The 18286-nt window shown below is 40.5% G+C and overlaps 1 protein-coding gene across 8 annotated transcripts in view; it reads right to left on the reverse strand.

The window, feature by feature from the left end:
- STAG1 (STAG1 cohesin complex component) overlaps window positions 1-18286 on the reverse strand; it is a 416143-nt gene that overhangs the window by 47500 nt on the left and 350357 nt on the right. For 7 of the 8 annotated variants that reach the window (NM_005862.3, XM_047447229.1, XM_047447228.1 and 4 more), the window contains one exon: window positions 15014-15094. In NM_005862.3, the coding sequence (NP_005853.2) occupies window positions 15014-15094 (81 nt within the window). Of the gene's footprint in view, window positions 1-3969; window positions 4138-15013; window positions 15095-18286 lie in introns of all 8 variants that reach the window. The other variant, XR_001739978.2, reaches the window with a different exon arrangement.

The following is an 18286-nucleotide window of genomic DNA, read 5'->3' on the forward strand; positions in this document are numbered from 1 at the left end:
ACGAGGTCAGGAGATCGAGACCATCCTGGCCAACACGGTGAAACCCCGTCTCTACTAAAAATACAAAAAATTAGCTGAGCGTGGTGGCAGGCGCCTGTAGTCCTAGCTACTCGGGAGGCTGAGGCAGGAGAATGGCATGAACCTAGGAGGCAGAGCTTGCAGTGAGCCGAGATCGCACCACTGCACTCCAGCCTGGGCAACAGTGCAAGACTCCGTCTCAAAAAAAAAAAAAAAAAAAGAAACAGAAACAGTCACAGAGATGTTAAGCAACAGGCCCAAAGACACAGAGCCATTAAGTAGCAAAGTGAAATAACAAAAGCAGTCTGCCTCCAGACTGTGGTCTTAACCAGTATGCTATAATGACTCTTTAATATGATAAAATTAATATGTGGCAACTTGCAGAGACAGGCAGCATTATGAAAGTAAGAAATTTGGCTGGGTGTGGTGGCTCATGCCTGTAATCTTAGCACTTTGGGAGGCTGAGGTGAGTGGATCACCTGAGGTCAGGAGCTCGAGACCAGCCTGGCCAACATGGCAAAACCCCATCTCTACTAAAAATACAAAAACTGCCGGGTGTGGTGGCACATGTCTGTAGTCCTAGCTACTCCAGAGGCTGAGACAGGAGAACTGCTTGAACCTTGGAGGTGTAGGTTACAGAGAGCAAAGACTGCACCATTGCACTCCAGCCTCGGCAACAGAGCAAGACTCCGTCTCAAAAAGAAGAAGAAAAAAAAAAAAAAAAGAAATTTGAGGCCAGTCGTGGTGGCTCACACCTGTAATCTTAGCACTTTGGGAGGCCAAGGTGGGTGGATCACTTGAGGTCAAGAGTTTGATACCAGCCTGGCCAAACAGGTGAAACCCCATCTCTACCAAAAATACAAAAAATTAGCCAGACGTGATGGCATACGCCTTTAGTCCCATACTCTGGAGGCTGAGGCAGAAGGATCACTTGAGCCTGGGAGGCGGAGGTTGCAGTAAGCTGAGATTACGCCACTGCACTCTAGCCTGGGCAACAGAGTGAGACTCCATTTCAAGAAAAAAAAAAAAAAGTAAGTAAGAAATTTGAAAGTTGAATTACTCAAATATATTTATATATAAACAAAAAAGCCAGTTAACTCACTAGACACTGAAAAAGAATAATACAAGAACAAGATATGCTGATTATACAGACTGTCATTTTAAGAAACTAGAATACATTGGAATTTTACTTCCACAAATCCCCTTTCTAGTCAGATTACCTGGATTACAGGAGTGGGAACTGAAGCTAATGGGTGAATACAGAAGAGTAATCTATGCTACTTTATCTACTTCTCTTAGTTCATATAAAATGTCCTTATATTGATGCTTCCTTTCAAATTTTCTTTTTCCTAAATGAAACCAATATTTTATCTTATTTTTAGAAAGCAGCATGGCATCAAAAGCACTTTTTCTGGCTGGGTGGGGCAATTCACACCTATAATCCCAGTACTTTGGGAGGGGGAGGCAGGAGGAACGCTTGAGGCCAGGAGATCAAGATCAGCCTGGGCAACAAAACAAGACCTGTCTCTACAATATATCAGCCAGGTGTGGTGACATGCACCTATAGTCCCAGCTACTCAGGAGGCTGAGGCGGGAGGATCTCTTGAGCCTGGGAGATTGAGGCTGCAGTGAGCCATGACCGTGCCACTGCACTCTGGCCTGAGCAATAGAGTGAGACCCTGTCTCTACAGAAAACCAACTTTTTCCTAGAGTACCTGCAGAAAGGAATTCAGATGGCTCGAGTAGTAAGATCACACTGAGATGTAAATCATAGTATCTTGGTTATATTTTGTATCCATTTTGCAAGTAGCTTTATTAGATTGGCTAAGGTTTTTGCTTCCTGGTAGATCTAGTGAAACCGAGAATTAGAAGACTGAAACCTACATATACCCATATATAAAAGGGCTAAAATAGTTTCAGTTTATCAGTGATCTACTAACCAAGATAAGAGGAGAAACCTCTTAAAGAGACAGGGTCTCACTATGTCTCCCAGGCTGGAGTGCAGTGGCACAATCATAGCTCAATGCAGCCTTGAACTCCTGGGCTCAAGTGATCCTCTTGTCTCAGCCTCCCAAGGGGCTGGGAATATAGATGTGTGCTACCACACCTGGGCTAATTTTATATTTTTTGTAGAGACAAGGTCTTGATATGTTGCTCAGGCTGACTTTGAACTCCTGGGCTCAAACAATCCTCCCGCCTCAGCCTCTCAAAGCGCTGGGCTTACGGGCATTAGCCACCATGCTTAGCCAAGAAGAGAAACCTCTTTCAACAAATTAAGTTGACGTTTTTAAAATACAGTCTTGGCCGGGCGCAGTGGCTCATGCCTGTAATCCCAGCACTTTGGGAGGCCGAGGCAGGCGGATCACAAGGTCAGGAGTTTGAGACCAGCCTGGACAATATGGTGAAACACCGTCTCTACTAAAAATACAAAAAAAATTAGCTGGGCATGGTGGTGCACGCCTGTAATCCCAGCTACTCAGGAGGCTGAGGCAGGAGAATTGCTTGAACCCAGGAGGCGGAGGTTGTGGTGAGCCGAGATCGTGCCATTGCACTCCAGCCTGGGCAACAGAGTGAGACTCTGTCGCAAAAATAAATAAATAAAAATAAAATAAAAGTCTTGTCAGCAAGATATCAACAATGAAGAACCCCAAATATGGAAGGCACAATTAAGATGGTGAATTTATCATATAAGCTATATTAGAAAGAAGCTTTCCTAAAGGCACAAAGGCTCAAATTTGACATCTTAGGAAGAAAAAAGATCTTTAAATGTAGACTGACCCATAACAGCAAACTGTATGATTACAGTCAGTGAGGAAAGGTAAGGGAGTTTAATACCTATACACACAAAAACAGAAGTATATAGATTTTAAATGTGTGATTCCTTTTAATTTTCTTCCACAATAGTAGCAAGCACTACAGGCACACACCACTACACCTAGCTAATTTTTTTTTTGGTATTTTTTTGTAGAGACCAGGTACCACCATGTTGCCCAGGCTTTGTTCCAAAATTTTACATGGCTAGCGGAGGACCAAATTTAGTTGCGTTTTCATCCATAACTATGAAATACGGTTAACATAATCACAGTCAGAAAATGAAGCCATGGAAAAACTAATTAGTAAACACATAAAACTTTAGCTCAACATTATCTGACAAATATAGATTTTTGGAATGGGCAGAAATAAACAGTAAAGTAGCAAAACAAGGACCTAGACCAGATAAAAATTCTCAGAATACAAAAATAAAGCCTGCTAAAAATTTAGTGATCAATTTTCATGATGAAAAGGCAGCACAAAACTAAACTGCTTACCCAGAATAGGCAAATACGTTTTTCTAACTGACAAAGTTTGGTACACAAGGCAAAGAAGTTAACTTATTAGGCCACTGGTTGGCAAACTTTTTGTGTTAAGGATCAGATAGTAAATATTTTAGGCTTTGCAGTCCATATGGTCTGGATCCAACTACTTAACTGTCAGTGTAGCATGAAATAGTCCTAGATAGTACTTAAATGAATGAGCATGGTTGTGTTCCAATAAAACATCATTTACAAAAACACATCAGGTCAGATTTGGCCCATGGTCTGAAGTCTGCTGAGCCTGTTCTGAGCTATAAAGATCTTTGGAGACAAACTGTATTATGTTTTTTTGTACCTACCACAGTGACTAATATATAACAAGGCTCATTAAATTACTTTTCACCTGAAGTAAGTCATTATCCATACTATATATAAAACAGAACTAAATTCATTCACTTGGAACAAGTGACAAAAAGAACAAGACACAAAAGGCCCCACCATTGTAGAAGGGTAAACACTATGCTGTATTTCTGAGATTGTTTTCTTCTAAGAGTAATTGCTACTGGCAACTTTCTTCAGAGGGATAGGGGGAGAGTGTGCAACTTTTGTGAATATATAATAAAACGACTATTTGATATTTAAACCCCAAATGTAATACCTAGTTTTCAGTGTTGTTGCTGCTCTTGGCGATCTGAATCCCCACCTGCTGACTCCTGCCATTGCCTCAAAGGCTAATCCACTTATGATCCAGGAACCCTTAAGCTGCCTACTGTAGTTCCAAAACATCTTCTGATTTCTTTCCTGTAGTATACAAAGATGAAGGAAGCTAAAGAAGGAGTCAGAGGAACAGGGGAAAAGCAGTGACTGTTAGGACCAAAGTGAGAGACTTGAATTCCCAAATTATCCCAAAAATTCAGATGGAGGACTAAATCTATCACGCTGTATCCCAAACCTACACTACCCATTAAGTATGTTTATGTATGCCCATGGCCTCAGGCAATAGTTCAATAGTTCATTTTGGTTTGAGCAGGGGAGAAGACTACAAAAACAAAGATTAGGACTGCGACTTAGTGCCAACAAAATAACATTTACTGTTAATTCAAACACTTCTTTCAATTTCATCTTCTCAACAAACCTATCCAGCAGTGAGTATCATTCTCATTTTATATATCAGGAAAGTGAAGCTCAAGGTGAAGTACCTTGCTTATCTTGCCACAGGTGGTAAGAAGTGGAGTAAAAATTCAAACTCAATTTTAACTCCAAAGACCATGTTCCAACACACACACAAAATGCTGGAAACAGAAGAACTGGGAGCTGCTTTTTTGTTTGTTTGTTTTTTTGAGATGGAGTCTCGCTCTGTTGCCCAGGCTGGAGTGCAGTGGTGCGATCTTGGCTCACTGCAACCTCCGCCTCCTGGGTTCAAGCGATTCTGTTGCCTCAGCCTCCTGAGTAGCTGGGATTACAGGCACACACCACCACGCCCAGCTAATTTTTATATTTTTAGTGGAGACAGGGTTTCACCATGTTGGTCAGGCTCATCTCGAACTCCTGGCCTCCAGATCCGCCCACCTCAGCCTCCCAAAGTGCTGAAATTACAGGCATCAGCCACCGCACCTGGCAGGGAGCTACTTACATAGATAAATTGTGTAAGCAACAAGAAGTCATTTAACAAACAACTAGTAACTGTTACTTATTAGGAAAAACAATTTTTAATGAAAAACCTACTGTAGTAAGGAAAATGATTACTGTACCACTTAGGGGATATTAAGCAGGATAAGATACCCATTTCTTTTTTACTCAAATAAATAACCTGACAGGAAAGGAAACTTCTTTTATCATTAATTTTGGTGGAGGAAATCTCAAATCTCTGTACTAGAAAGTGTTATGTTTTGTCTAAATATTCTTTTTTTATATATAATAAGTTTAAAAAATAGAGATGGGATCTCACTATGTTGGCCAAGTTGGTCTTGAACTCCTGGCCTCAACCAATCCTCCTGCCTCGGCCTCCCAAAGTGTCTAAATATTCTTAATATTGTTTTAGGCTTCTGATAAGCTTAGTGAAAACATATTTTTACAATGTAATACTTGTTACTTAGAATTAATTATCTTGGTCCTGCCTTGTTACTTAGATCATGAAGTATTAAATGTCTTAAGAAGTTTGGATATTTGTAAACGAGGCAACTGTCTCTTAATAAGTAAAAACAGCATTCACTGGGGACAGGCTAGTGAGGCTGAGAAGGCCTTATGCTTTATTTACTTATTTGCTTATTTAATTTTTTTTGAGACTGAGTCTCACTCTGTCACGCAGGGTGGAGTGCAGTGGTGTGATCTCCGCCTCCCAGTTCAAGCAATTCTTCTGTCTCAGCCTCCTGAGTAGCTGGGACTACAGGCGCACACCACCACACTTGGCTAATTTTTTTGTATTTTTAGTAGAGACGGGGTTTCACCATATTGGTCAGGCTGGATTTATTTATTTTTATCATTCTTTTCTGAGATGGATTCTTGCTTTGTCGCCCAGGCTGGAGTGCAGTGGTGCCATCTCAGTTCACTGCAGCCTCCACCTCCTGGGTTCCAGCAATTCTCCTGCCTCGGCCTTCTGAGTAGCTGGGATTACAGGCGTGTGCCACCACATCTGGTTAATTTTTGTATTTTTAGTAGAGATGGGGTTTTACCATGTTGGCCAGGCTGGTCTCAAACTCCTGACCTCAGGTGATCCACCCATCTTGGCCTCCCAAAGTTCTGGGATTACAGGTGTGAGCCACCGCACCTGGCCTTATGCTATTTTTTTTTCTTTTTTTTTTTTGAGATGGAGTCTCACTTTGTCACCCAGGCCGGAGTGCAGTGGCATGATCTTGGCTCATTGCAACCTCTGCCTCCCGGGTTCCAGCGATTCTTCTGCCTCAGCCTCCCGAGTAGCTGGGACTACAGGTGCCCGCCACCACGCCCAACTAATTTTTTCTATTTTTGGTAGAGATGGGGTTTCACCATATGGGCCAGGCTGCTCTTGAACTCCTGACCTTGTGATCTGCCCACCTTGGCCACCCAAATTGCTGGGATTAGAGGTGTGAGTCACCACGCCCGGCCCCTTATGCTATTTTTAAAGAGGGGATTCCCTACCAGCAAGCAAGCCTCTATATCTAGGGACTCAGGAACAGGGCTGCAAACACAACATGGTACTCTTAATGGAATGCTGAAACCATGACTTGTAAGTCATTTTCTAAATCGAAGATATTTATTTCTGGTTTTCAGAGAATTTTAAAATATTGGGTTGAATATAATTTTGGAGAAGTTCTGAATTTGGTATGAATAGACACCTACTTTTACATTCCAGATTCTTTTAAATGAATATTCTGAGAGCTGAACATGAAATGGATATTAAACAAGACCTGTATCTTTCTTCTCTAACTTTTCTAGACCAGCCAATCAGGCACTTGTGATTGGACATAATATTAACAGGAACACATGTATTAAAGAACAACTCTGGAGTCATGGAACGACCGAAAGGAAAGGCTTAGAACTAACTAATGGAACAGAATTTCCAATAAATAAAAGGTGGGGGCAAAGATTCTCTAAGAAAAGAAGTGAAATAAAATGCTTACATGCGACTAAAAATTTGTTCCTACAAGGATCACTATTATTTCTCACGCCTGGCCCCACTCCCTTCCTCTCAAAGCAGTTAACTCTGCAGATAGGGAGTTGCTATCTGTATTTTGTTATTACAGGAATTCCGGGCCAGGACTCTAATGAGCTATCTCTTGCTCACTGCTATTCTGAAGGAGTGGGTAGGGAAGAGAAAAGAAAGAGCTACAGAAAGCAGCCTGTAGATTTTTACACATCTGAGCCTATTTCTAACACATTTGTAGGAATGCATGTTTGTGGGAAGGACAGCAAGGTTAAACATGTCTTCTCATGGGGCTTGGCCACTATCAGTCCCACCTTCACCCTTACTGCTCTTTTCTCCAGTCTGTTTGCAGGTCAACAAGTTGGAATTTTCAGAGGAGAACCTTTAGTCAAGACAGTGATGGAAGGACAAATTTTACAGCTAAATACCTCAATAATAATTGGACTTGTAGCTACCTAGGGTATATTGACTTTCTTTGACATAAAGGATTTGAAATAGGGTGAGGGTCCAGAGGTAGGGATGTTTGGCCCAGGCCCTCCCTATTGCAGTCTAGAATAGAAACATGCAGGGTAAGGCAGAGAGAGTAGCACAAATATAAGACTACAGAAAGCAGGACAGCTCCTCCCAGGAGAGAAAAAAAATAAGGATAAATTCTAGATCCGCAGGCCAAAGAAAGTAATAGGGCATTACTTTAGCCCTCTTTTTTTTTTTTTTTTTTTCTTTTTTTGAGACAGAGTCTCACTCTGTCGCCAAGCTGGAGTGCAGTGGCATAATCTTGGCTCACTGCAACCTCCGCCTCCTGGGTTAAAGCGATTCTCCTGCCTCAGCCTCCCAAGTAGCTGGGACTACAGGCGCACGCCACCATGCCCAGCTAACTTTTGTATTTTTAGTAGAGACAGGGTTTCACCATGTTGGCCAGGATGGTCTTGATCTCTTGACCTTGTGATCTGCCCGCCTCGGCCTCCCAAAGTGCTGGGATTACAGGCGTAAGCCACCATGCCCGGCCCATTTTAGCCCTAACTCTTATTTGCCTGGCTCTTTAAATGTCTTTGTGTATGTCCAGAAGGAGCTGAAGGAAGAAGGATGTTTTCTGCTACAAAGAAAAAATGAAGGTTACTTCCACAGGACCAGCACTAGGGGGCACTGGAGCAAAGTATACTTAGCATAACCTGTAAGACTGCCCCAGAGCTTCCAACTCTGGGAATCAGGGGAACAGAGGAAAACCTATTGGTGAAACCCAGTGCACTTCCATTTCAAATAACGATCAAAGCTTTTTCTTGATATAGTCTTCTCATAAACTTTATTTAATAGTGTTTACTGTTGAGTTAAATTATAACTTGAATTTAAACTTCAATTATAACTACCATTCATAATCTCCTGAATGAGTGTTTATGACAATAGAAAAGAAAAAAAATTTTAGAAAAGTACTCTTTAAAAAGCGATTTGGCAGTATGCATCAAGAACCTTAAAAGTATATACAATCATTGACCTAGCAATTCCATTTCTAAGAATATAATACAAGATGAAACAATGAAAAACACAGAACAAGCTTTTTGCACCAGAATGCCCATCATCACAGCATTAATTTTATTAGTAAAAATATTTAAACCCAAATATCTAAGAGCGGAGAGAGGTAAAATAAATTACGGTATAGCTACACAATAGATTATGCATATATTAAAAATATTCTCTATAAACTTTTCTTAATAACTGAAGAAAATATGTTAATTGAAGAGAAGATAAAAATTGAAAGTACATTGTAATCTCAATAAAATTACAAATATATTAAAGAAAAAGCACTAAAGAAAATAAACCAGGCTGGGCGCAGTGGCTCATGGCTGTAATCCCAGCACTTCGGGAGGCTGAGGCAGGTGGATCACAAGGTCAGCAGATCGAGACCATCCTGGCTAACACGGTGAAACCCCGTCTCTGCTAAAAATACAAAAAGTCAGCCAAGCGTGGTGGCATGCGCCTGTAGTCCCAGCTACTGGGGAGGCTGACGGAGGACAATCGCTTGAACCTGGGAGATGGAGGTTGCAGTGAGCCGAGATTGTGCAACTGCATTCCACCCTGGGTGACAGAGCCAGGCTCCGTCTCAAAAAAAAAAAAAAAAAAAAGAAAAGAAAATACACCAAAATATTAACAGTGGTTATCTACAAGTGGTAAGAGTCAGTTTTATTTTGTTTATATTACTATTTTTGTATTTCTTCTTTTATAATAAGCATATGCTGAAGTAGGAGAGCTCAAATTTATGAGAACTCTACCTTGTATTTTATAACAAAAAATAATAAGCATATTTTATTAATAAAAATATGTGACCTCTTGAGAGATTTAAATGTTTCTATAACTGTATAAATGACTACAGAAAGAAAAACAAATAATGGTTGGCTGGCTTGCTCCCTCACTGTCTAAATGACCCATTTCATTTTAACATTTTCTCAACAAAATAATACAAAATTACTTTACGTAACAAACTTTCAGCTTGCTTCTAAATGACCAACATTACAAATATTAAATACATTTAACATATATAAAAATCCCAGTATCTACCATACTACATTTAAACTTCAGGGAAAAAATTAAGGGGAAAAAATGGATAGAGTTTTAGGTGCATTATCACAGAAGTCCTCCATATACTGTTAGTCCTGGCATTACAAACTGAGCCAACTTTTGTAAAAATACAAAAATTAGCCGGACATGGTGGTGGGTGACTGTAATCCCAGCTACTCAGGAGAGGCTGAGGCAGGAGAATCCTTTGAACCTGGGAGACGGAGCTTGCAGTGAGCTGAGATCATGCCACTGAGCTCCAGCCTGGGCAACACAGCAAGATTCTGTCTCAAAACAAACAAATGAACAAACGAGCAAACAAAATGTAAAACAATAAGGTAATGACAACAACAAAGTCCCTTCCTACGCTTCATCTTTTTTTTTTTTTTTTTTTTTGAGACAGAGTCTCACTCTGTTGCCTAGGCTGGAGTGCACTGGTGTAATCTTAGGTCACTGCAATCTCTACCTGCTGTGGGTTCAGGCGATTCTCCTGCCTCAGACTCCCGAGTAGCTAGGACTACAGGCATGTGTCACTACACTTGGCTAATTTTTGTATTTTTAGTAGAGACAGGGTTTCACCATGTTGGTCAGGCTGGTCTCCAACTCCTGACCTCAAGTGATCTGCCCACCTTGGCCTCCCAAAGTGCTAGGATTACAGGCATGAACCACTGTGTCCAGCCTGAAACATGGATTTTTCTTTTTTTTGAGACGGAGTCTCGCTCTGTTGCCAGGTTGGAGTGCAGTGATGCAATCTTGGCTCACTGCAACCTCCGCCTCCTGGGTTCAATCGATTCTCCTGCCTCAGCCTTCTGAGTAGCTGGGACTACAGGGACATGCCCATGCCACCACGCCCAGCAAATTTTTGTATTTTTAGTAGAGACGGGGTTTCGCCATGTTGGTTAGGATAATCTCTATCTCTTGACCTCGTGATCCGCCTGCCTTGGCTTCCCAAAGTGCTGGAATTACAGGCATGAGCCACTGCACCCAGCTGAAACATGAATTTTTAAAGTTTGCATGTGTCTTAAAAATTCATGCTTTTGAAGATTATCACTTAGAGAACCATTTTAAAATTATAGACAGAACTGATGTACGATGACTACTGAATATACCCTGGACTTTTAAAGAAACTACCAACAACTTCAAAATGAGAAGAAATAACTTGAGAGACAAATACCTAAGTAAGAAAAATTCCACATATGCTATAAATGCACATAAAACTATAAATTGTAATTAACTGAATAAAACACATAAAAGATGCTGCAGCATTCTTTCTGGCATAAAGAAAATCAGTGGGTCACACCTGTAATCCCAGCACTTTGGGAGGCTGAGGCGGGTGGACTGCTTGAGTCTAGGAGTTTGAGACTAGCCTGGGTAATATGGTGAAACCCCATCTCTACAAAAAATATAAAAAAGTAGCCAGGCGTGGCTGGGTGTGGTGGCTCACACCTGTAATCCCAGCAATTTGGGAGGCGAAGACAGGCAATCCCAGCAATTTGGGAGGCGAAGACAGGCAGATCACCTGAGGTTGGGAGTTCGAGACCAGCCTGGCCAACACGGTGAAACCCCGTCTCTACTAAACATACAAAAATTAGCCAGGCATGGTGGTAGGCACCAGTAATCCCAGCTACTTGGGATGCTGAGGCAGGAGAATCGCTTGAACCTGGGAGGCGGAGACTGCAGTGAGCCAAGATCATGCCACTGCACTCTAGCGAGACTCTGTCTCAAAAAAAAAAAAAAAAAAAAAAATGTAGCTAGGCGTGGTGGCACACACTTGTAGTCCCAGCTACTTCAGGGGCTGAGGTGGGAGGATCACCTGAGCCCAGGAGGTTGAGGCCACAGTGAGCCGTGACAGTGGGCAACCAGGGTGAGACCCTGTCTCAAAAATAAAACAAAACAAAATCAGTTCTGGTAACAAAATCTGCATTGCCAATGAAATATGTAATATGACTAATACAAAAATAAAACTATCTTTTATTAGGAGAATGTGTCAGACAAAAAAGGCAAGGAATTTCAAAATAATTCTGCTGTAAAAAGATTAAAAAATAGAAAATATTCAAAGAAGTCGATTGAAGAATAGAGATTCTCATTCCAATTATGGAATATAGTTGTAAAAAGACAAAATTTAGGCTGGGCACAGTGGCACACACCTGTAATCCCAATACTTTGGGAGGCTGAGGTGGGTGGATCACTTGAGGTCAGGAGTCCAAGACCAGCCTGGCCAACGTGGTGAAACCCAGTCTCTACTAAAAATACAAAAAACCCGGGCATGGTGGCATGCGCCTGTAATCCCAGCTACCCTGGAGGCTGAGGCAGGAGAATCACTTGAACCCGGGAGGTAGAGGTTGCAGTGAGTCAAGATTGCACCACTGCACTCCTCCAGCCTAGGTGACAGAGTGAGACTCCATCTCAATTAAAAAAAAGACAAAATTTAAATTATTAATAGATTTACAAGGAGGAATTAACTATCAATTATGCTGAATTTTTACGGAATAACATATTCTAAATTTGCTAAATGCAATAATCAATATTTAGCCAAAATGCAAGTAACTCAACAAAAATGACGTCTGTGGGAAAAACTATCTAAAACTCAATCAGAAGGGTGAGAATAAAAGCAATTGTGTAAAATCATTAAACCCTTCCTATCAAATTTTAATATATAAATTCAATCTCCTTTGACTTTACTATATTAAATAACATTTCAAAAAAAGACAAGAGGCTCGCTCTGTCACCCAGGCTGGAATGCAGTGGCAAGATCTTGGCTCACTGCAACCTCTAGCTCCCAGGTTCAAGCGATTCTCGTACTTCAGCCTCCAAGTAACTGGAATTACAGATGTGCGCCATGATGCCCAGCTAACTTTGTATTTTTAGTAGAGACAGGGTTTCATCACGTTAGCCAGGCTGTTCTGGAATTCCTGACCTCAGGTGATCCGCCCACCTTGGTCTCCCAAAGTGCTACGATTACAGGCGTGAGCCGCCAGGCCCAGTGTAACACAGTTTTTTTTTTTTTTTTTTTTTTTTGAGACAGAGTCTCGCTCTGTCGCCCAGGCGGGGGTGCAGCCACGCGATCTCTCCGCTCACTTCAAGCTCCACTTCCTGGGCTCCGGCCATTCTCCTGCCTCAGCCTCCTGAGTAGCTGGGACTACAGGCGCCTGCCACCACGCCCGGCTAATTTTTTTGTATTTTTAGTATTGACAGGGTTTCACTACTGTGTTAGCCAGGATGGTCTCGATCTCCTGACCTTGTGATCCGCCCACCTCGGCCTCCCAAAGTGTTGGGATTACAGGCGTGAGCCACCGCGCCTGGCCTTTTTTTTTTTTTTTTTTTTTTTTTTGGAGACAGTCTCGCTCTATCGCCCAGGCTGGAGTGCAGTGGCATGATCTTGGCTCACTGCAACCTCCGCCTCCCGAGTTCAAGCGATTCTTCTGCCTCAGCCTCCCAAGCAGCTGGGACTACAGGCGCCTGCCACCACACCCAGCTAATTTTTGTATTTTTAGTAGAGACAGGGTTTCACCATATTGGCCAGGCTGGTCTCGAACTCTTGACCTTGTGATCTGCCCGCCTCGGCCTCCCAAAGTGCTGGGATTACAGGCGCGAGCCACCGCACCAGGCTGTAACACAGTTTTAAAGTGGCTTTCATTACTAATAAAAGGTTAACTGTTATTTTTGTTTTTCAAGACTGAAATTATTAATAAAAGAGAAAAACCAAGAGGCTAACCAATATATTACCATTCTTCTAATGAAAAAGAATTTAAAAATCCTACTACTTTCTAAATGCAGAGATCCTCAAATTGTTACTCAGAAAGGAAAAAAAATTCTTACTCTGAAAAAATAACACTCCATATCAAGCTGTTTGTTCTATATGCAAATGCATTACTCATCTTTACTGGTTAAACAGCTTGTTTTGTTAAGAGGAGATACACAAACATACTAATATCTTTATTTGGTTCTTTATCAAATGTTTACTTCTTAGTCATGTTCAGGCCTCTCATTACATGAAATAACTGAAACATTTATATTTGTGTCAGATAATTCCAATGTGAAGTATTTTTTGTCTGATTCTCTTCATGGTTGTTTTCATGAGTGATATTTTTGCTGTGAGCTCATTTTGCTTAAGGTTTTACTTGTGGAAAATTCTTTAAGGCAAGTTCCTTCAGAAGATATTTAGATTTGATTCTGTTAGGTGGTTGGGGATTACCACCATTATAGAACACTTAATCAAAATCTCAACTTTTTTTCTTTCTTTTTTTTTTACCATCAAAATAGTATGAATTCAGGTGAAAACCTATGCAAAAGCTAAGTCATAAACTTTCATGGGAGATTTATTTTTCCCCATTTTAATCAATGACAAATTTTAAGACAGACTCTTTTCCTTATAATCCCCCAGCCCCTGAAGGAAACTGGAGTGCGTTTATTTCTAGTTCACCCCTGTGGTAAGAGCAGGTCATTAGGATCCCAAAATTATCTGGGAGATGTGGCCACCTATGAGACATTCTATCCTGGATGGACCTTGAGAAACATCCTCAAGGTAAAGCAGGCTTCAGTGCTCTTTTTGGCTTTCTTGATCTTACTTTTTTTCATTTAATCCCTAGCCCACATTTTTCTTTGTTTTGCATGGTCATGGATACATTAAAATTCAAAAAAAAAAAATTTACCCAACATTTTAAGTTGTTTTTAACTTCAAGAGGGTTGTTCACTTTGTGTCTCTAGGTATCATACTACTATCTTTCAATGATGTTATTCTTTTTTTTGAGATGGAGTTTTGCTCTTGTTGCCCAGGCTGGAGTACAATGGCGCGATCTTGGCTCACTGCAACCTCTGCCTCCTGGGTTCAAGCGATTCTCCTGCCTCAGCCTCCTCAGTAGCTGGGATTACAGGCACCCAACACCACACCCGGCTAATTTTTGTATTTTTTTTTTTTTCAGACAAGAGTCTCACTCTGTCGCTCAGGCTGGAGAGCAGTGGCGTGATCTGAGCTCACTGCAACCTCTACCTCCCGGGTTCAAGTGATTCTCCTGCTTCAGCCTCCCAAGTAGCTGGGACTACAGGTGTGCATCACCATGCCCAGCTAATTTTTGTATTCTTAGTAGAGATGGAGTTTCACCATATTGGCCAGGCTGGTCTTGAACTCCTGACCTCAAGTGATCTGCCTACCTCGGCCTCCCAAAGTGCTGGGATTATAGGCGTAAGCCACCGTGCACGGCCTCAATGTTATTCTTTTTAATAGCATGTTACCTATCAGAGCTCTTGTGTCTACTACAGTGATTTTATATAAGAAGTTTTAATCCGTGTGTGTGTGTACATATATATACACACACATAACTATGTGTCTTTTGCTTGAAGATTTTGGCTCTTCCCAAAGAGGTAAATGTATACTTACTCATAAGATAAACCAAGAACTGGTAATAGTCATATATTTTATTAAATATTACAATAATTTATATTATACAATAACTGATAATAGTAAATTATTAAATAGTTAAGCAAGGTTATTATTTCAGTAATAACCCTTCTGCCTACAGAAACTCTTACTTACTTTGGAAGGAGAGCCATCAGTAATTTTCACCAACTGCCAAAGAATCGAATAATGGGAACACTGCAGTGCTTGCACGACTATCTGTATCAAATGAAAAAAAATTTTTTTAATGAAAAATTCAAAAAAATGAGATCATCTGTTTGCACCGTGCTAAGATAATATTTATCACAGTTGTTATTTTATAGTATAGCTTCAAGTCCAAATTTTTGTATAATTAATGAGAATGTATAAAATACTTGGTTAAAAAGGACAAACCAATGTATCAATCTGGAGAATAAAGACACAACATATGGGAATAAATACAGATTGAAATAGCACTATGTTTAAACAAAAATGTAGTGTCATGAATATTTTACTTAGTCAAATTTTTAAAAGGAGACTGATGAAATTATTTTTATCCAAATTTTATAGTTGAAATAACTGAATCTAAAATATTTACCCACATTTTATAAGAAAATTTCTACTTCTTTTAAAGTATTTTAATGTGAAAACAGTCATATCAAATATACATTTATGAGTATAAAGCTTAATGAATATAAAGCAAAAATACCTGTGTAACCACCACCCACATCAAGAAATAAAACATTGCCAGCACCTCCTCCCAATATAATTATCTTTCTTCTCCCAAGGGCAACAGTTATTATGGATTATTTGGGAATTGGTATATTTTAATTACCTAAGTCTGCATTCCTAGTTTTTTACGCATATCGTTGAACAGTACATAAACGTAATCATACCATATGTATTGAGTCTGACTTTTTTCATTTAACATTTATGTTTCAGATTTATTGATGTTGCATGTACCTAGAGTTCATTAGTTTTTAGTTCCGTGTAATATTTAGAATACTCCCTATTCGTCTATCATTGATAAACTTTTACACTGCTTTGAGTTTTAGGCCATTGTGGATCATATTGCGATTAACATGCTTATATATGTGTCTTGGTGCACTCTGCATGCATTTTTCTAGGGCAGAGGTTTTCAGAGTTTTTAGTTCTCAGGATCTCTTTATACTCTTAAAAGTTACTAAGAGTCCCAAAGAGTTTTTCCTTATGTGTGTTATATCTCTCAATACTATCATATTAGAAACTAAAACTAAGAAATGTTTATAAAATACTTATTAATTCACTTAAAAATTTATTACATAACAAATAATAAAACTTTCTGAAAAGAAACAAACTTTCTTTTTTTTTTGAGACAGGGTCTCACTTTGTCACTCAGGCTGGAGTGCAGTGGTGTGATCACGGCTCACTGCAGCCTCAGCCTCCCTGGCTCAGGTGGTCCTCTCGCCTCAGCCTCCCAAATAGCTGGGACTACAGGTATGCACCACCACATCTGGTTAATTTTTGTATTTTGAGTAGAGGCGGGGTTTCACCATGATGCGCAGGCTGGTCTCAAACTCCTGGACTCAAGCAATCCACCTGCCTTGGTGTCCCATACTGCTAGGATCACAGGTCTGAGCCACGGTAACCAATTATCAAAAATTTTCTTTTTTTTTTGAGACAGAGTCTTGCTCTGTTGCCCAGGCTGCAGTGCAGTGGCGTGATCTCGGCTCACTGCAAACTCCACCTACCGGGTTCAAACAATTCTCCTACCTCAGCCTCCTGAGTAGCTGGAACTACAGGCACACGCCTGACTAATTTTTTTGTATTTTAGTAGAGACGGGGTTTTGCCATGTTGCCCAGGCTGGTCTCGAACTTCTGAGATCAGGCAATCTGCCCACCTCTGCCTCCCAAAGTGCTAGGACCATAGGCGTGAGCCACCACGCCCGGCCGCAACATAAATTTTCTTTCTTTTTTTTTTTTTTGAGACGAAGTCTCGCTTTGTTGCCCAGGCGGGAGTGCAATGGCACTGTCTCGGCTCACTGCAACCTCCGCCTCCCGGGTTCAAGTGATTCTCCTGGCTCAGTTTCCCAAGTAGCTGGGATTACAGGCGCCTGCCACCACGCCTGGCTAATTTTTGTATTTTTAGTAGAGACAGGGCTTCACCATGTTGGCCACGCTGGTCTTGAACTGTTGACCTCATGATCCGCCCGCCTCAGCCTCCCAAAGGGTTGGGATTACAGGTGTGAGCCACCGTGCCTGGCCTCAAAATAAATTTTCTAAAGGAAAGAATATTTATTAAGAGTAGCACTGTTTTACATTTTTGCAAATCTCTTTAATGTCTGTCTTAATAGAAAACAACTGAATTTTCCTATCTGCTTTGCATTGTTACAATACATTGTTTTCATTGAAATATATGAAAAAATCCAGTCTCACAAAGTAGTTTGGGAAAAGAAGGTATAGTTTAATAACCTCTGTAGACAACATGAATATTCCTTGCTATGACACCAATACCCCACCTGTACACTTGCAAGAGAATGAGAGTGTAAAAAGGAAATAACATCTTGATCTTATTGTAAAAATAGTTTTGACTTCATGGACCTCTCCTGGAAACCGCCCATGGGTTCCCAGGCCACATTTTGAGAATATCAATATTATTAGGTATGTTTTATTGCAGTAAGATACATCAAGTATTCAAACAAAAATGTGGTAAAAAACCTATCCAAATTGGAGTTCTCTTTTACGTTGTAATCCTTAATCAATTTTACTTTCCTTAATTCTGATATTTGTCTCTCTGGAAAATAGGGACAAAATCCTATTCCTGATGCTCTAAGAATAGGACTTCTGGATCATACAGTATGTGTATGTACAATGTTATTAGATATTCTGAAACTGTTATTCAAAGTGTTTGTATCTACTAGTCATTGACAGTTGCTGGGTCTTCACATTTCTACCAACACTTGATATCAGATTGCTTAAGTTTGGGAATTCTATTACATATGGGTAGTGGTTTTAATTTACATTTCTCTAAATACAATGAGGATGAGCACCTTTTCAGTTTTTTTTTGAGATGGAGTATTGCACTGTCTCCCGGGCCTTGGATAGATCTTTTACTGCATTTTTGTACACAAAATGTTTACTACATTTTTTGAATAAACGATGTATCTTTTCGCAATAAAGCATACCTAATATTGATATTCCTTTATTTTATTTTACTTTAATTTTTTGAGATCAAGTCTTGCTCTGTCGCCCAGGCTAGAGTGCAGTGGTGGGTTAAGCAGTTCTCCTGCCTCAGCCTCCTGAGCAGCTGGAATTACAGGCACGTGCCACCACGCCTGACTAATTTTTGTATTTTTGGTAGAGACAGGGTTCACCATGTTGGTCAGGCTGGTCTCTAACTCCTGACCTCAGGTGATCCACCCGCCTCGACCTCCCAAAGTGCTGGGATTACAG

This window comes from Homo sapiens, chromosome 3, assembly GCF_000001405.40.
Source record: "Homo sapiens chromosome 3, GRCh38.p14 Primary Assembly".
NCBI lineage: Eukaryota > Metazoa > Chordata > Mammalia > Primates > Hominidae > Homo > Homo sapiens.